Raw genomic sequence first — 20,467 nt, forward strand, 5'->3', positions numbered from 1 at the left:
TTCCTACCGCCTGGGTGGGCGGGGCCTGCTGCGCGTCGGGGCAGGAAGGGGCGGGGAGAGTCGGGAAGGGCGGGGAGGGGCGGGAGGGGCGGGGCTCCGGGGCGGGCGTGGGAGGTCGGGCTTCGAGCGTCCCCGGGCGCTACAGGTGGGTGAAGTTAAGTGGCTGCTGGAGCGTCTCGGGGGACAGCCAGTGTCTGCGGCGCCGAGAGGGCCGTTCGTGGACTCAAATGGGTATCACCCCTACCGTTTATAGTCCTCCCAATAGTCTGCATCTCGTTTTGTCGTGGCTGGTCGTGTACTCCTTGTGGAGTCTGAAGGTACAAGGGGATCCCCAAAATGGAGAAGTGGGTGTCTTTGGAAGGGCCTACTGAGTAACATGGTTGGAGTGGCCAAAAGACTTTGTTTTTCTTTTGCTACTCAAAAGAAAGCTGGAATACCAAAAATTTTTACTTACGGATATCAGGTCTTAGTTAAGATCGTGGTTTGAATTCAAGCATCTAATTTTGCCTACTCTCCTGTTAAAAATCAAGTTTAACAACCTAAACACAAGGACAAAGAGATAACAGCAACAAAATGTTGGAAGCTGGAGAGCACAAGTATGAGTATGAGAGGTAAATCGGAAAAGGGGGAGATTAGTCAAAGGCTGCTCAAGGACTCTGATCGCTAGATCCTTTTTCCAGCTTCATGTCTCTGGGCAGCTGCCCCTCTTTCCCACCACGGGCTCCCACCCCGGCTGAATTCCCTGAAGGGGATAAATTCTCTGCTGAGTGGGTATTCCACCTAAAACGGAGAATAAGTGGCTTTATGCCTACTGAAAACTGAAACCCCTCGCTATCTGATTAACCTAAGAGGCTGAGCAAAGATACTGACATCGGGTTTTCTGGACAAATCATACACCCAGATCACCCTACAGTGAAATTCAAAGTTAAAAGCACCAGCTATCTACTTGGAGCTTCCTCTCTTTGTACTTTTTAATTTTTACTTTTAATCATGGACAGCAACCAAAAAAATCCAATAATGTAGAAAGAAGGGACCCAAACAACAGACAAAGGAATATGGAGGAAGCAGATGCTGCAGGGAGAACACTTTTAAAAATTCTCATAATAGCCCCAGAAAAATAAGAGAAGATGAAGCCACAACAGGGTGCAATAAAAGGGGTAGGGGATTTTTAAAAGTTAATAGAAATAAGAAAGAAGTGAAAAAACTATTAGTAGAAGATAACACTGAGGAATGTAGAGCAAAAACTCTGAAAGATAAGAAAATTGGAAAACGCAGTACAGAGGGGATGAAATAAATAATTCTTAAAGGTGCTTGAGAAGCAGCGTAGTACAAATAAGAAGAAATAAGTAATTTGGGCTGGGCACAGTGGTTCATGCTTGTAATCCCGGCACTGTGGGAGGCCGAGGTGGGCAGATCACTTGAGCTCAGGAGTTTGAGACCAGCCTGGCCAACATTGTGAAACCCCATCTCTACTAAAAATACAAAAATTATCTGGGCATGGTGGCAGACACCTGTAATCCCAGCTACTCGGAAGGCTGAGGCAGGAGAATCGCTTGAACCTGGGAGGTGGAGGTTGCAGAGATCACACCACTGCACTCCAGCCTCAGCAACAGAGTGAGACTCTGTCTCCAAAAAAAAAAAAAAAAAAGAAAAGAAAAGAAATAAGTAATTATCAAGGCTCCAGGACTGAAGAACACGCGTTTTCAGAATGAAAAGCTAGGCCAGGCACTGTGGCTCACACCTGCAATTGCATAACTTTGGCAGGCCAAGGCAGGAGGATTACTTGAGGGCAGGAGTTTGAGACCAGCCTGGGGAACATAGACCCTGTCTCTACAAAAAATAAAAAGCAAAAAATTAGCCCTGTGTGCCAGTGCGGTGGTAAAAGCTTGTAGTCCCAGCTGCTCGGGAGGCTGAGATGAGAGGATTGCTTGAAGCCGGGAGGTTGAGGCTGAAGTGAACTATGATCATGCCACTGCACTCCAGCCTGGGTGACAAAACAAGATCCTGTCTCAAAAAAAAAAAAAGTACAATTGAACCTCCATAACCAGAGGTTCCACATCCATGGTTTTAACCAATGTCAGATAACAGTATTTAAAAATAACAAATAATACAGCAATTTAAAAATGCAAATAAAAATACGGCAAGAGCACTGTCAACATAGCATTACATCGTATTATTATAATTAATCTAGAGATTATTTGAAGTACAGGAGGATGTGCATAGATTATGCCATTTTATATAAGGGACTTGAGCATCCATGGATTTTGGTATCTGGGAGTCCTGGAACCAATCCCTCATGATACTGAAATGTAACTATGTTTTTAACATGAATGGTTGCACTGAATCAAGTTTTCAAGGAAAAGAGCCTTCTGACTCATAGAATCAGACTGTATTCTGTGACACAGAAGAAAACACATATCTACCTGTGTTAGGGATCCCTAAGATCACCTCCAGGTTCAGTGATGCACTAAAAGAACTCATAGGACTCAGTTGTACTCACAGTTAAGATTTATTACAGCAGAAGAATATGAAGCAAAAGAGCAAAGGGAAAAAGTGCACAGGAAGAAGACAGGAGGAGGCCAAGCACAAGCATCACGTTGTAACATGTGTGAAGGGCTGTCTGCCATGGAAGCTCATTAGAGACTCAGGGAACAGCAGGAACACTCCCAAATCCACCTACAGGCCAACCTTCAGGAAGCAGGCCTTTCTAAAGATCGCAGTCTTAGGCCTGTTACGGTAACTCTTTTCTGCATACTAACCAAATGAGGAATTCCTACATATTTGTATTGAATTTTATATTGGTGCTGTACATTCTATGGGCTTTGACAAATGTATAATGATGTGTATCCAGCATTATAGTATCATACAGAATAGTTTCACTGCCCTCAAAATTATCTGTGCTCTACCTATTCATTCCTCTCTCCTTGCTAACCACTGGCATCCACAGATTTTTACACTGTCTCCATAGTTTTGCCTTTTCCAGAATGTCACATAGTTGGAATCTTACAGTATATAGCTTTTCAGATTGGCTTCCTTCACTTAGTAATACGCATTTATGGTTCCTCCATGTCCCTTCATGGCTTGATTGCTCATTTCTTTTTAGCACTGAATAATACTTCATTGTTGGGACGTACTACAGTTAATCCAATCCTGCAGCATCTGCTTCCTCCATATTCCTTTGTCTGTTGTTTGGGTCCCTTCCTTCTACATTATTGGATTTTCTTGGTTGCTGTCCATGATTAAAAGTAAAAATTAAAAAGTACAAAGAGAGGAAGCTCCAAGTAGATAGCTGGTGCTTTTAACTTTGAATTTCACTGTAGGGTGATCTGGGTGTATGATTTGTCCAGAAAACCACTGATGTATCTATTCACCTACTGAATGGATTTTGTGTTATCACTTTTTTGAATTTCACTGTAGGGTGATCTGGGTGTATGATTTGTCCAGAAAAACCCCTGATGTCAATATCCATTCACCTACTGAAGGACATCTTGGTTGCTTTCAAGTTTTGAAAATTATGAATAAAGCTGCTATAAACATTCATGTGCAAGTTTTGTGTTATCACTTTTTTTTTCCAGACAGGGTCTCTGTCACCCAGGCTAGAGTGCAGTGACTTGATCAAGCTCACAGCAGCCTCCATCTCCTGGGGTCCAGCAATCCTCGCACCTCAGCCTCCTGAGTAGCTAGGACTACAGGTACATGCCATCATGCCTGGCTTTTATGTATTTATTTATTTATTTTAGTAGAGGTGAGGTTTTGCTATGTTGCTCAGGCTGGTCTGGAACTCCTGTGCTCAAGGAGTCCTTCTGTCTTGGCCTTCCAATGTTCTGGAATTACAGGCATGAGCCACTGCGTCCAACCCTGTGTTATAACATTTTTAAGCCAAGGAGAAATGTTTGTTTTTGACAACTTAACCATATCTAATTAAATGTTTTATTAAAACCATTCACGTGGGCCGGGTGTGGTGGCTCACACCTGTAATCCCAGCACTTTGGGAGGCAGAGGCGGGTGGATCACAAGGTCAGGAGTTCGTGACCAGCCTGGCCAATATGGGGAAACCCCGTCTCTACTAAAAATACAAAAATTAGCTGGGTGTGGTGGTGCATGCCTGTAATCCCAGCTGCTTGGGAGGCTGATGCAGGAGAATTGCTTGAACCCGGGAGGCAGAGGTTGCTGTGAGCCCAGATCGTGCCACTGCACTCCAGCCTGAGTGACAAAGTGAGACTCTGTCAAAAAAAAAAAAAAAAATTCACAATTCTAACACTGTACGTCCATCTAGTTGATCCATTGATTCATGGTAGCATGCCATAGAGCAAATAACAAATATACAATAGCTACATAAAATATAAAAAATTTAGGAATAAATATAATGTGCAAGAATGTAAGACCTCTACATAGAAAAGTATATATTTAATAAAGTATAAAACATTATTGAAATGTTAGAAGATGTAAGCAAATAAAACATGAAATATTTGTTGGGGGAGGAGGATTGTTGTTTTGTTTCATTTTTCTTTTTTCTGTTTAGTTTTGGTGGAATTTGATAAGCTGATTCTAAAATATATAAGAAAATATAAAAATAGTTGTGACATTGCTCAAGAACAAGGTGGGAAGTCTTCTACATATTCTCAAGACTTAAAAAGATTAAGTAATAAATTCCACTCACTATTGGTGCAAGCATAAACAAATGAACCAATGGCACAGAGTTGAGAACTCACAAAAGATCCATGTGTATACACTTGATTAATGACAAAGGAATCACTGCAGAGCAGCAGAAAAAAGATAATGTTGTGACAACTGGATATTAATATGGAAAAAACCTGAAACTTGACCTCTACCTCACACCATATACAAACAACTCTAGGTGATTTCTAGACTTAAATGTAAAAGGCAAAACAACAAAGTTATCAGAAAATAATATAGAGAATATTTCATGATCTCTAGAGAATAAACCCTTACATGAAGCCCGAAAAGTATTAACTACAAAGGGAAAAAATCAATACATTTGGCTACTCAATATTTAAGAACTGTTTATCAAAAAACACAAGAGAGTAAAAAGCCACAGTATGGAACAAGGTATTATTTGTAAAATATATAACCAACAATGGACTGGTGTGAAGAATATATAAAGAACTCATATAAATTCAAAGAAAAAAGTAATCTAGAGGAAAATGGCTAGGAAATCAGAACACTTTACAAAAGAGGATATCTGTATGTTCAATAAACATATGAAAAGATGCTTAATCTTGGTAACCAGGGAAATGTGAACTAAAACCACAATTAGATACCACTACATACTCATTGGAATGGCTAAAATTAAAAAGACTGGTAATACCAGCTATTGACAAGGATGTGAAACAACAGAAACTTTATACATGGCTGATGGTAGAGTATAAAATAATCATTTTGAAAAATAGTTTGGCATTATTTACTGAACTTTAAGATACACATCCTCTACGAACCAGCAGCTCTGCTTCATGGAAATGAATGAATGTATGTGCTCCACATAGAAACATGGTATCCCTTAAATGCAGAAAAGGCATTAGATAAAATTCAGTATTGGTTCACCAAAAAAATTCTTAGTAAATTGAGAATAGAAGGAACAATAGAAAAAGAACCCAAATCATTTTGTAAACATCATACTCAATGGGGATATCATAATAGCATTCCCCTTAAAATCAAGAACAAGTAAAGGTGCTCATTATCACCACTTCTAATCAGTATTGTACTTACCAGTGAACACAAGTGAAAGAAAGAAAAGGCATAAACATTGAAAAGAAAGAAATAGTCATTATTCACCAAAGATAAAAATAACTACATAGAAAACCTAAAAGATAAAAGAATCCTTAATAAATTACTAGATGTAAGAGTTTAGCAAGGTCGCTATATATTAAGTCAACCTAAATCAATTGCACTACAAACCGAAATAAAATTAATATTAAAAAGATACTATTTATAATAGCTAAATATATGTGGAACTTAGGGACAAATATGACATGTCTATCTGTGCAAATGTTTATGGAGAAAATCCTAAAACTTACTGAAAGACGTTAAAGAAGACCTAAGTACATTTTTAAACATTTATTTATAATTTTTTTTTTAATTTTTCTTTTCTGAGAGAAATGGGAAGAAAACCTTTGGAAGGTTTTAAGCAGGGAAGTAGCTTAGTCTGATTTACATTTTTAAAAGATCATTCTGACTGGTGTATGAAAGATGATTACAGAGAGGCTTGTGGAAGAGACCAGATAAGCTATTGGAGTGCAGGTGCAGGGCTAATATTTAGCTGGCAAATACTGGTACTGTGGCCTGGATTCTTTATGGCCAACATTTGCTGACTGGATGCAGTTGGTTGGCACCATGCTGTGCCATTAGCAGTTGTTAAATATTTTGATTATTTCTCAGCGTTCCCATGAGATTTCAAGGTGGCTCAAACCAGGCTGGCAGCAGTTGTCATCTGGATATGTTGGCTGATAAAGGATATCTTCTGTAGGAACAGGTGGGAAGACTCGCTGATGTGGTAGATGTGGGGGTTGGAGGAAAGAATAATCAAAGAAAGCAATGATGTTGTCTGTCTTCTCCACTAGCCTGTGCACTGCTTGAGAGCAGAGATGATCCCGGTGCAGTTTTATCCCCAGCACCTATCCCTCTACCTGCCACTAAGAGGGTAAAAACATTCCTGCTGAATGAAATTGCTACATGGGGACATGAGTGCAGATGTAGAGGTGTCAGTGTGGTCTAAGAGTGAGCACTATAAGATAAGAAAAAACAAGCAAGAATCAAGCCCTTTATATGTAGTCTAAATAGGACCAAGATCTCAGATGACCATCCCAGTAGGAGTCGGGTAGAAAGTTAGTGGAATTTTTATTTTGTTTTGTAGAGATGGAGGTCTCACTATGTTTCCCAGGCTGGTCTCAAATTCCTCCTGGCCTCAAGCAATCCTCCATCCTCATCCTCCCAAAGCACTAGATGTGAGCCACTGCAGCTGGCCAATTAGTGGCATTTGACCAAGGAAAAGTTTGAGGATGAAAAGCACTGGGACCTCAGACAGGAGCTGTGAGAGATTCAGTCCCCTGGGACAGTGGGTTACAGGGGTCAGGAAGCCCAACTCCTGAGGAACAATTCAGAAAATTAATTTCAGAAATAATGGCTTAAGGAATGGAAAATAGTATCAGGAATGCTAACAAAGTGGGTCAGAGTGAAAAAAGTGGCAATGCTGACCTGATAATGGAGGAGCCACACTGGCTGATAATGGAGGAGCAACACTGGCTGAATCCTATGCCTAAGTGTTCATGACATCAAGACCTTCTTATGCACCTTGCCTAGGAAGGATTTCTTCCACTGCCTAGGACAGAACTGAGCATAACGCATGAGATTTAAGGAAGCCCAGCTGCTGGGGTAGATAGAGGCTCAGGGAGTGAGGAAAGCCAGGTGGCCTTTTCACCTATCAGCTGTCTCCTCATCCCAGGAGCCTGCAAGAACCGAGACGGTGATTTATAACCACTTGCTTAGTATCCCCCAGACTCAACACAGTGCTTGGCACACAATAAGTGCTTAATAAGTTTTTACTTTTTGTAAAATTTAAAGATTTTTGAAATTCAAAATTTATTGGGTTTGGCACATTTAAGGTCATTCTTTTCCAAATCTCAAAATGGGATGTTAGAAAACCTTAAAATTGATGGGACGACATTATTTTCACATTACCAAATATCCAGTTAAATATGTTTTGTGATTTCCCAGTAAAAAACAAAATAAATTAAAGACAAAATAAATTTAAATAAAGTTAGCTCAGAGGTCCAAACTCATGGATTACAAATTCACGTGGAGCATTGCGTTTTCCTACCGGAATGTGATGTGTGAGCACCGATGTTTCCACCAGATCCTCCGGCTTGTGGATTACTCCATTCATCAACACCAGTGGATCCTAGAAGAAAAGAACATTTTGAAAGTGACTTTGTGTCTTTGGGGATGCTCTTCTTTAAACATCAGTAGGAATAAACATTCTCTTTATGGCTATAAAGGAAATTAAACACCACAGACCCCAGAAAATAATAACAATTAAAATACTAATTACAACATGAGTTTACATTTATTTTAACACCCCCCAAACACCAATAAAAATTTAAAAGATGTAAATTCTCTTCCCAGAACCAATTATCAAAACAAAGATTTCACTTTAGCTCTCTTAGGAGAAGATAATACTTAAGCTAACTAGAAACAAGAATGAATTAATATATTTCTACTTTTGGTAGATTTGAAAAGTGTAGTTTGAAATACAGTTTCTGAGAGAAAACTGGATTTATTTTCCTCATTCTGGAGTCTTCTTTGTGGTTGTTGGTATCACCATTCTTTCATATTCTTAAGCTCAGTGCCTAGAGAGAATTTTGGGTTTTGTTTTGTTTAACTTTTTCCTCTCCATTACCTGCTATGATGCTAATTCAAATCCTTCTTAGTTGGTAGTAATGGCCATGTAAGGCAGGGATGATTCTCAACCCTGTTTTACAGATAATCAAGCTAAGCACACAGGATGACTGCCCAAGAAGCAAGTGACCGCAATGGTGAAGCTGGGCCTCCACCCTGCCGTCTGGCTGACTTCAAGGCCTGCACAGCCTCTTAAGCCGCATCCTGCTTGCTGCCTCCAAGCTTTCCTGACTGCAGCCTTTTCTCCAGTCACTTTTGATAGAGGAGTTAAGAAGAAATTACTTAGGCAGATAGTGAGGGTATGGAAGTCCTCGGTAAGGTTTTCCTTTTAATGAAAAGCAGCCCCAAATCATTTTCCTTTCTAACAAACAGCAGCCTGTAAAATCAAGCTGCAGACATAGATGCCGGCAGTTGTGCCAATCATGTTCAGAATGGTGGCTCCCTTCTCCCTTCTCTGCCAGCCATATGTACAGTAAGGAGCAGACAACATGGCTCGGGCCAAGGGTAAAGTTGATTTGCATAATAAGATTAGGGTGGGGCCCACCAGCCTTCCCCTGCACTATGTAAACATCACGCCTGACTGAACCAATCTGTGAGCCCTATGTAAATCAGACAATGCCTTCTCAAGCCTGACTATAAAATCCTGTGAGTCCACTGCCAGCCAGTCTTTCCTCTGGGAAGCCCCTCTCTCTCCCTAGAGAGAGCTGGTTTCCTTTCTCCTTTCTTTTTCTTTTGCATATTAAACTTCCACTCCTAAACTCCTCATGTGTGTCCCTATCCTAAATTTTCTTGGTGCGAGACAATGAACCATGGGTATTCACCCCACACAACGTAGCCTCTTCACTTTCTTCTTAAATTTACCCAGACTGACCTTTCTAATTCCCTGAGGCCACTTCTCATTTTCCTGCTTCAGAACCAGCAGGAACTCCTGAGTGAAGTCCGAATTCCTCTGCCGGACTTTTACCATTTCTCTGTGATCTGGCCTAATGTGGACAAGTCTGTATTTCCGCGCTGCAGGCCCTTCTCTGCAGCGGGGTGGTCAGCACTTGGCCTCCTTTGTGTCTCAAGCTGCGAGGCTCCCTCCCCCTTCAGCCTCTTGGCTTCACTCTAGTTTCAGTCTTCTGTGCTTTATCGTTTCTCATGCTGCACTCAGGCGCCTCCCTACAACTTCAGAGACTTAACTGACCTCTAAATTCTTTTATATGTGTCAGTCTTAGCTCCCCCAAAAGAGGCTCAGAGCCTATACAGCAGTCGTTCTTAAAATGTAGTCCCTGACCTGAAGCATCAGTGTCACCTACGTGCCAGTTAGATGCACATCTTGGTCTTCACCCCAGATGTTCTGAATGAAGAATACTCTCAAACCTGAGCATGCATTAGAATTTCCTGAAGGGCTTGCCAAACCCAGATGACGGGGCCCACCCTTACAGTCTCTGATACAGTAGGACCAGAGTGAGGCCAGAAAAATTTGCATTTCTAAAAGGTTTCCAGGCAATGCTGATGCAGCTAATCTAGGGACCACACTCTGAGAACCCCTGCTATAGAACTTAGCAGGAAGCTTGCCTCAGTTTAATTAGAACAGAATATTTCAGTGGTTTTCCATCCAAAATCTGATTTCTGTTTCAAAGATTGATTATAGACTGCTGGGATGACACCTCAGGTTTGAATCTAGGTGGAATTCCCACATATTGAAATGTTTTTAGAGGCTGGGTGGTGTAAGTATTCTAATGCAGGTGTCAGCTGGGGGCAGACAGATTAAAAGTACAATGTAAAATGTAGAGCAGTGGACTCTGTTCCAAGTATGTAACATCCTTTTACTGATTTCATTCTCAAAACAACCTATGAGGCAGTTTCCATTATTATCATTTCTGGTTTACAAACGAACAGGCACCAGAGCTTAAATAAAAGAAGATTTCATATGGGTAGTAAGGTTAGAGCTAGGATTTGAACTGTGGCAATGTAGCTCCAAAGTCCATGAATTTGTTTTTTGTTTTTTGGGGGTTTTTTTGGTTTTTTGTTTTTTTGAGATGGAGTTTCATTCTTGTCACCCAGGCTGGAGTGCAGTGGTGCAATCTCGGCTCACTGCAACCTCCACCTCCCCAGTTCAAGTGATTCTCCTACCTCAGCCTCCTGAGTAGCTGGGATTACAGGCACCCTCCGCCACACCCGGGTAATTTTTGTATTTTTCATAGAGACAGGGTTTCACTATGTTGGCCAGGCTGGTCTCGAACTCCTGACCTTGAGTGATCCACCCACCTTGGCCTCCCACAGTGCTGGGATTACAGGTGTGAGCCACCACACCCAGCCAAAGTCCATGATCTTAACAGCTGTGGCATGCAGTCTCAATTTGCTAGCTACAAGAGCAAGGCTTAAGCTGCTGAGGTGCCTGGGAGCCCCAATCCTCCCTGCCTTTGAGCAAGTAACTTGTCAGCTTAGATGGAGGTGCACAGCATCCCAGGGCCATTTTCAGTAACCACAGTAGCTCTTGGTAGATGGTGATGCAGGATCTTTGCTCCTTAGCTTAGCTAAAACCTGGGTTCTTGTCCCATGACCAGGAAAAATTAGGTAGTGGACACGTTAAAAGGTGAGAGAGCAGAATTTATTAAAAGAAAGCTGTCAGCGGCCAGGTGCATTGGCCCACGCCTATAATCCCAGTACTTTGGAAAGCTGAGGTAGGCAGATCACTTGAGGTCAGGAATTCGAAACTAGCCTGACCAACATGTTGAAACCCCGTCTCTACTAAAAATACAAAAATTAGGCATGGTGGCACACACCTGTAATCCCAGCTACTCAGGAGGCTGAGGCAGGAGAATCACTTGAACCCAGGAGGCAGAGGTTGCAATGAGCCAAGACTGCGCCACTGCACTCCAGCCTGAGTGACAGAGTGAGACTCCATCTGAAAAAAAAAAAAAAAAAAAAAAAGGAAAGAAAGCTCTGAACAAAAAAGAGGGCATCCTGCAAACAGGCTTCCACCTCACAGATTGAATACCAGACCACCAGACCACCAGACCACCACACATGAGCTGAAGAGTCCAGGCTCCTCTCCACTGCACAAGGCACACATTCCTGGGAGCTCCACCCCACTCTTCCAGTGCACAGGTGGGCCCCCAGTCCATTGTGGGCATGCCCAGACAAGGCCCTGGGCAGATTCCCTCATCTGCACAAAAGCATCTGACATAAACACTTGTGAGGTGGGTTGGAGATTCTCCAGGTACCCTTCCTTAGCTGCCTCCTGCATCTATCAGTGGTAATTTATGTTAGATAACATGCCTATGCCTACAGTCTGTTTTACTAAGATGGAGAAAACGGTTACCATTAGGGTGACTCTGGTAATTACTGCTTCCCCTGAGCTAACATGCCTTAATGCTTTCTGTGCATTAATGTCACCACTCTGACACAACCTAACACTCTGTCAGCAGCATGAGCCAGGATGGCTTCCAGAATCTCCATGGGCTGTCCTCACCACACCTTTGAATAGCAGCTCTCAAAGTCTCACCTTACATCCATCTTTCCCTCCCTATAAAAAGTGCTTTTCAGCCTTTGCTTGGGTCTTCCAGTATAACAAGCTCACCATGTCACTAAGCAGTCAAGCCTATTTTAAGGGAACTAATAATTACACAATAGCTTTTTTACCTTGAGCTGGAAATTGTCTACAGTAACTCGAATTGGTCTTGACTCAACCTCTTGGGGACCCTGAGAACAACTATGATCCTCTTTCCACATGGTACTCTTTCTGTATTTGATGATAAACAGCCAATATTGCCTCCTCCTTTGCTTCCCAAATCTTTCCTTCCCTAGGCTACATAAATCAATTTCCATCTGTTGTCGCTGATATAACATAATTTCCTTTTCACCATCCCATCCTCAACCATCCCACCCACATCCCTTTTAGATGAGCTCAGAGGATCTGGTGCAAAGATAATCTGTACAGTGCAGGTCAGGCATGATCTGGTCCATGCAGCATACAGCAGAATTGCTGCCTCGTATTAGCTGACATGCTTTAATGCTTTCTGGGCATTAATGATTTCTTAGCTTTCTGGGCAGCCATACTCCTGTTGGCTCATTATAAATTCATAATCAATGAAGCCCCTTGCTATGTCAAGTTGACAAGAAGTATTGTTCAACCAGATCTCTTTCAATTTACCTTTTACCCATGCAGCAAACTTGTTTAAGAAATGACTGTACATTCATCCCTTGAAATTATGTCTTATTTCAACGAGTCCATCCTGAATGCAAAGACTCAGAGACGATGTGTCTTTGTGTACTCCAATTAGGGAAGTTTAGAAAACAAGCTGACAACCTGTAAACATAACACTTCGAAATGGCTTTTGTTGGCATGGATGACCACTGAAAATGTATCCACTTAGCAGCTGCCAAATAATGGAAACTAACACAGACTGAGACTGCCCTGGCGGCCAGGCCTTCTTGCTGGTATGCCAGGATTGGCTGAAGTGAGAAGCCACTGGAATCCTCTTGACAGGCTATATGTAGCTCATCTTTATGACTTTTTGCCACAGTTCACACACTGGGAGGACAGTCACAATATTTCATTTGGTGTCTATATTAGTTTACTAGGACTGCCACAACAAAGTACTACAAACTTGGTGTCTTATAAAACAGAAATGTATTGTCTCACAGTTTTGGAGGCCAGAAATCCAAAATCAAGGTGCTGGCAGAGTTGGTTCCTTCTGAGGGCTATGAGAGAAGGATCCATTCCATGCCTCTTCTCTTTGGCTTGTAGGCGGTCATCTTCATGTTCAGTTGGTATCTTCCCTGTATATGTGTCTGTCTCCAAATTTTCCTTCTATAAGGATACCAGTCACATTGGAATAGAACCCACCCTAATGACTTCATTTTAATTTGATAAAGAGCATATCTCCAGCCGGGCACAGTGGCTGATGCCTGTAATCCCAGCACTTTGGGAGGCCAAGGCAGGCGGATCATGAGGTCAGGAGTTCAAGACCAGCCTGGCCAACGTGGTGAAATCCTGTCTCTACTAAAAATACAAAAATTAGCTGGGCGTGGTGGCACGTGTCTGTAATCCCAGCTACTCAGGAGGCTGAGTCAGGAGAATTGCTTGAACCTGAGAGGTGGAGGTTGCAGTGAGCCAAGATTGTACCATTGCACTCCAGCCTGGGCAACAAGAGCAAGACTCCATCTCAAAGAAAAAAAAAAAATACCATATCTCCAAATAAGGTGATGTTCTCAGGTACTACAGGTTAGGACTTCAAGATATGAATTTGGAGGGGGACAGGGGACACACGATTCAACCCATAAGAGTATCCATGCACCAGCCACCTTGGAATGTCAGTTTCTTCCACAGGGCTCAAGACTCTGGGGAGTCAGGAACAGGACTGTCCTGTATTCTGGTTGATTTTAAAATATTAGAATTTTGCTTTAATTGCCATATAGACTATGATGATAGTGAAGTTGATGGTGATGCCAACTGTGGTGAGGACAGTCATGGTAGTGGCAATTAAGAACTGCATTTCAGTAATGTGCACAATAGTATAATGATGGCCTAAAAGAACTGCCAGGCTTCAATGTGCTCCACATGTTTCTGCAGCCAGAAACATATATCCTCATAAGGCAGGGGTTAGGTCAATTAATCAGACTTAATTTTACAGAGAGATAACATGTCTGCAAATAACATTTCTGGTTCTTAGTGTATTGATCTTTATCATCCTACAATTCCATTGGTATTGGTACTGCACTTTCAGTACCTTTAATTTCGGACAGAATCAAAATACTTGAATTATACTCCAGGTCAAGTCTTTAACAGCTATATGGCCCTAGGAAAATTACCTTACCTCACTGGTTATTGAAAAGAGGAAAGATAGAAAGAAATTGGTGTTCTAGATTATGCATTCATTTCTGGATTCAGTTTGCATAAGTCAGTCCTTCTGAGGCTCACAACTTGGGGTAACTGAGGAAGTCAAGGTAATGCAAGGTCAGGTCCAGGGCAGTAGTCATTGCAATCTTGCCCGCTGTGCCCCTACCTGACATTGCACCTAAGTCTCAAGTGGGATTTTTATAGACTGCAAAATCTAAGACAACTTATACACCCATTTCACTACAGGGAGTCCACAGATGTATCTGTTTCCTGTAAACTAGTGGCACACATTCTTCCCTCAACTACTCAGGAGAAATCTTGTCAGCGCATGAAATGTGTTGTATAAATTCAGTGATAAACTGGTGAAGGACCCCGCTATATTCACCAAAAGAACGTTGCTCAGGAAAGTTAACTTGCTCTCTTAGCATAAAAGTAGGCATTTGAGATATTGGCAACTCAAGGAACAAGAGTGACATTTCCCTTAATATCTGTTGCTATTAATGATATAATAATGATCACAAACAATATTATTAATAATTAAAAATGTCATTTTTTCATCCATACCAAAGAGATTTTTTGTTATTTGGTTCTCATTAATTAGATATATAATTTAAATGGGCCCTATTTCCCATCCTCTTAAATCTGTGAATAACCACCATATGGTAAGGTACTTACCTTGCAAGGATGAACAACTGGACTTTATCAAATAAACCTGGGCCAAATGATGCAAATCATGCTGTATATGGTTCCAATACTGGGTTTTGCTCAGTTCCTCTGCTTTCCAAAAGGAGTCTACCTGCCTTCAGAGTCCTTCATGTGATCATTATACTGGAAAAACCCAGGCAGCTAGGGTCTGGAGTGGACCCTCAGCAAACCACAGCAGACCTACAGAAGTGGCCAGACTGTTAAAAGATAAACAGAAAACAACAACAACAAAACCCCACAAAAACCTCATCCAAAGGTCATCAATCTCAAAGACTGAAGGTAGATAAGCCCACAAAGTTGAGAAAGAATCGATGCAAAAATACTGAAAACTCAAAAAGCCAGAGTGCCCCTTTTCCTCCAAATGACCACAACACCTCTCCAGCAAGGGCTCAGAACTAGGCTGAGGCTGAGATGAATGAAATGACAGAAGTAAGCTTCAGAAGGCGGGTAACAACAAACTTCACTGAGCTAAAGAGGCATGTTGTAACCCAATGCAAAGAAGGTAAGAATCATGATAATACATGAGCTGAGAGCCAAAATAGCCAGTTTAGAGAGGAATATAGCTGAACTCTTAGAGCTGAAAAAGACACCAACTTCACAATGCAATCTAATGTATTCATAGCAGAATAGACTAAGCAGGTGAAAGAATCTCACAGCTTGAAGCCTATCTTTCCGAAATAAGACAGGCAGACAATAATAGCAAAAAAAGAATGAAAAGGAATGAACAAAACCTTTGAGAAATATGATATTATGTAAAGAGACTGAATCTATGATTGATTGGGGTACCTGAAAGACATGGGGAGAATAACCAAATTGGAATACTTAAGGATATTATCCAGGAGAACTTCCTCAACCTACCAAGACAGGCCAACATTCAAATTCAGGAAATTCAGAGAACCCCAGTAAGATATTCCACAAGAAGATCATCCCCAACACACATAATTACCAGACTCTCCAAGGTCAAAATGAAAGAAAAAAATGTTTAAGGGTAGCCAGAGGGAAAGACCAGGTCACCTACAAAGGGAACCCCATCAGACTAACAGTGGATCTCTCGGCAGAAACTCTACAAGCCAGAAGAGGTAGGGAGAGAATATCCAACATTTTTAAAGAAAAGAATTTCCAACCCAGAATTTCATATCTGGCCAAACTAAGCTTCATAAGCAAAGGAGAATGCTGAGGGAATTTGTTACCACCAGGCCTGCCTTGCAAGAGCTCCTGAAGAAAGCAGTAAATATGGAAAGGAAAAACTATTACAGCCACTACAAAAACACACTGAAGTACACAGACCAGTGATACTATGAAGCAACCACATAAACAAGTCTGCCAAATAGCTAGCATCATGATGATAGAATCAAATCCACACATAGCAATACTAATCTTAAGTGTAAATGGGCTAAATGCCCTCAATTAAAAGAGAGTGGCAAGTTGGATAAAGAACCAAGACCCATTGGTATGCTACCCTCAAGAGACCTATCTCACATGCAAAGACACATATAGGCTCAAAATAGTTGGAGGAAAATTTACCACACAAATGGAAAACAGAAGAAGCAGGGGTTGCAGTCCTAGTTTCTGACAAAGAGATTTTAAACCAACAAAGATAAAAAAAGACAAGAGCATCATATAATGGCAAAGAGTTCAATGTAACAAGAAGAGCTAATTATCCTAAATATATATGCACCCAATACAGGAGCACCCAGATTCATAAAGCAGGTTCTTAGAGACCTTCAAAGAGACTTGGATTCCCACACAATAATAGTGGGAAACTTTAACACCCTACTGAAAATATTAGACAGACCATTGAGACAGAAAATTAACAAAGACATTCAGGACTTGAACCCAGCTCTGGATCAAGTGGACCTGGTATATATCTATAGCACTCTCCACCCAGAGACAACAGAATATACATTCTTCTCATTGCCACACAGCACTTACTCTAAAACTGATCACATAATCAGAAGTAAAACACTCCTCAGCAAATGCAAAACAACTGAAATCATAACAGTCTCTCTGGTCTGAGAGACTGAGTTCTCACAATCAAATGAGAACTTATGGAAACTGAACAACCTGCTTCTGAATGACTCTTGGGTAAATAATGAAATTAAGGCAGAAATCAAGACATTCTTTGAAACTAATGAGAACAAAGATACAACATAGCAGAATGTGTGGGACACAGCTAAAGCAGGGTAAAGAGGGAAATTTATTGCACTAAATGCCCATATCAAAAAGCTAGACAGATTTCGGCCAGGCTTGGTGGCTCACGCCTGTAATCCCAGCACTTTGGGAGGCCGAGGCAGGCAGATCACAAGGTCAGGAGTTCGAGACCAGCCTGGCCATTATGGTGAAACCCTGTCTCTACTAAAAATACAAAAATTAGCCAGGCATGGTGGCAGGCACCTGTAGTCCCAGCTACTCGGGAGGCTGAGGCAGGAGATAAGCTTGAACCCAGGAGGCAGAGGTTGCAGTTAGCTGAGATTGTGCCACTGCACTCCAGCCTAAGCAACAGAGCAAGACTGTCTCAAAAAAATGCTAGACAGATTTTAAGTTAACAACCTAACATCACAACTAAAAGAACAAGAAAACCAAGAGCAAACAAACCCCAAAGCTAGCAGAAGACAAGAAATAACAAAGATTAGAGGTGAACTGAAGGAGATAGAGACATGAAAAACCCTTCAAAAAATACATGAATCCATTAGTTTTTGAAAAAAAAAAATGAAATACATAGACCACTAGCTAGACTAGTAAATAAGAAAAGGCAGGAGATTCAAGTCAACACAATCAGAAATGATAAAGGAGATATCACCACTGGCCCTACAAAAATACAGCCATCAGAGTTGTTTTTATAAACACTTCTATGCACATAAACTAGAAAATCTAGAAGAAATGAATAAATTGCTGGAGACATACACCCTCCCGAGACTGAATCATGAAGAAATCAAATCCCCAGATAGACCAATAATGAGTTCTGAAATTGAGGCAGTAATAAATAGCCTATCAGCCCCCAAAAAAGCCCAGGACCAGACGGATTTATACCTGAATTCTACCAGAGGTACAAAGAAGAGCTGGTGCCATTTCTACTGAAACTATTCCAAAAAAATAGCAAACAAGGAACTCCTCCCTAACTTATTCTATGAGGCCAGCATCATCCTGATACCAAAACCTGGCAGAGATACAACAAAAAAGAAAACTTCAGGCTAATAACCTTGATGAACATCAATGCAATAGTCTTCAACAAAATACTGACAAATCAAATCCAGCAGCGCATCAAAAAGCTTAAGCAGGCCGGGTGTGGTGGCTCATATCTGTAATCCTAGCATTTTGGGAAGCCAAATCGGGTGGATCATTTGAGGCCAGGAGTTCAAGACCAGTCAGGCCAATACAGCAAAACCCTGTCTCTACTAAAAATACAAAAAAAAAAAAAAAAAAAAAACAATAGCTGGGTGTGGTGGCATGTGCCTGTAGTCCCAGCTAATCAGAAGGTGAGGCATGAGAATCACTTGCTTCTGAAAGGCAGAGGTAGCAGTGAGCCTAGATTGTGCCACTGCACTCCAGCCTGCGGGACAGAGTGAGACACTGTCTCAGTGGTGGCACACTCCTGTAATCCCAGCTACTCAAGAGGCTGAGACAGGATAATCATTTGAACCCAGGAGGCAGAGGTTACAGTGAGCCAAGATTGCGCCACTGCACTCCAGCCTGGGTGATAGAATGAGACCCGGTCTTAAAAAAAAAAAAAAAAAAAAAGCTTATCCACCATAATTAAGGAGCTTTCATCCTCAGGATGCAAGGTTGGTTCAACATATGCAAATCAATAAATGTGATTTATCACATGAATAGACCTAAAGACAAAACCCACATGATTATCTCAATAGATGCAGAAAAGGACTTGATAAAATTCAACATCCCTTCATGTTAACAACTCTCAATGAACTCAGTATTAAAAAAACATACCTCAAAATAATAAGAGCTATATATGAGAAACCCACAGCCAATATCATACTGAATGGGCAAAAGCTAGAAGTATTCTCCTTGAAAACTGACACAAGACAAGGATGACCTCTCTCACCACTCTTATTCAACATAGTACTGGAAATTCTGGCCAGGGCAATCAGGCAAGAGAAAGAAAGAAAGAAAGGCTATTCAAATAAGGAGAGAGGAAGCCAAACTATCTTTGTTTACAAATGAAATGATCCTATATCTAGAAATCCCCATTTTCTCAGCCCCAAAACTTCTTAAGCTGATAAGCAACTTCAGCAAAGTCTCAGGATGCAAAATCAATGTGCAAAAATTGCTAGCATTCCTGTATGCAAACAACAGGCAAGTGGAGAACCAAATCATGAATGAACTCCCATTCACAATTGCCACAAAAAGAATAAAATACCTAGGAATACAGCTAACAAGGGAAGTAAAGGACCCCTTCAAGGAGAACTACAAACCACTGCTCAAAGAAATCAGAGATGATACAAACAAATGGAAAAACATACCATGCTCATGGATAGGAAAAATCAATATTGTGAAAATGCCCATATACTGCCCAAAGCAATTTATATATTCAATGCTTTAATAAAACTACCATTGACATTCTTCACAGAATTAGAAACAACTATTTAAAAATTTATATGGAACCAAAAAAAAGCCCGAATAGCCAAGACAATCCTAAGCAAAAAGAACACAGCTGGAGGCATCATAGTACCCAACTTCAAACTATACTACCAAGGCTACAGTAGCCAAAACAACATGGCACTGGTACAAGAACAGACATATAGACCAGTGGAACAGAATAAAGAATCCAGAAATAAGGTTACACACCTATAGCCATCTAATTTTCAACAAACTTGACAAAAACAAGCAATGGGGAAAGGATTCCCTATTTAATAAATGGTGCTGGAAGAACGGGGTAGCCATATGCAGAAAATTGAAACTGGACCTCTTCTTTACACCATACACAAAAATCAACTCAAGATGGATTAAAGACTTAAATGTAAAACTCCAAACTATAAAAACCTTAGAACAACCCTAGAACAAAATCTAGGCAATACCATTCAGGACATAGGCATGGGCAAAGATTTCATCATGAAGACTCCACAAGCAATTGCAACAAAAGCAAAAATCAACAAACGAGATCCAGTTAAACTAAAGAGCTTCTGCACAGCAAAAGAAACTATCATCAGAGTGAACAGACAACCTACAGAATGGGAGAAAATTTTTGCAATTTATCCATCTGACAAAGGTATACAAGGAACTTAAATAAATTAACAACAACAACAAAAAAATTAAAAAGTGGGCAAAGGACATGAACAGATGCTTCTCAAAAGAAGACATATATGTGCCCAACAAACATATGAAAAGAAGCTCAACATCACTGATCATTGGGGAAATGCAAATCCAAACCACAATGAGATACCAGTCAGAATGGCTATTATTAAAAAGTCAAAAAACAACAGATGCTGGCAAGGTTGTGGAAAAAAAAGGAACGCTTTTACACTGTTGGTGGGAGTGTAAATTAGTTCAACCATTGTGGAAGAC

General features: G+C 41.0%; 1 long non-coding RNA gene across 1 annotated transcript, besides 2 other annotated features; it reads left to right on the forward strand.

Annotated features, from left to right (window-relative positions):
• Nucleotides 10–129: a silencer, noted in NCBI's record as "silent region_1021". NCBI's record gives its function as "represses an Ori minimal core promoter by ATAC-STARR-seq in GM12878 lymphoblastoid cells {active_cell/tissue: GM12878}" and the evidence as "EXISTENCE:reporter gene assay evidence [ECO:0000049][PMID:35858748]".
• LOC105378819 (uncharacterized) lies at nucleotides 3,573–9,175 on the forward strand. Its single transcript, XR_947544.4, has 2 exons — nucleotides 3,573–3,692; nucleotides 8,497–9,175. It is a non-coding gene; the product is annotated as an uncharacterized LOC105378819 (long non-coding RNA).
• Nucleotides 3,903–4,102: a silencer, noted in NCBI's record as "fragment chr1:85044029-85044228 (GRCh37/hg19 assembly coordinates)". NCBI's record gives its function as "represses an EF-1alpha promoter that drives an FKBP-Casp9 reporter gene in an ReSE screen in phorbol 12-myristate 13-acetate-treated (for megakaryocytic differentiation) K562 erythroleukemia cells {active_cell/tissue: K562(+PMA)}" and the evidence as "EXISTENCE:reporter gene assay evidence [ECO:0000049][PMID:32094911]".
• Nucleotides 9,176–20,467: the final 11,292 nt, after the last annotated feature.

Source organism: Homo sapiens, chromosome 1 (genome assembly GCF_000001405.40).
Source record: "Homo sapiens chromosome 1, GRCh38.p14 Primary Assembly".
NCBI lineage: Eukaryota > Metazoa > Chordata > Mammalia > Primates > Hominidae > Homo > Homo sapiens.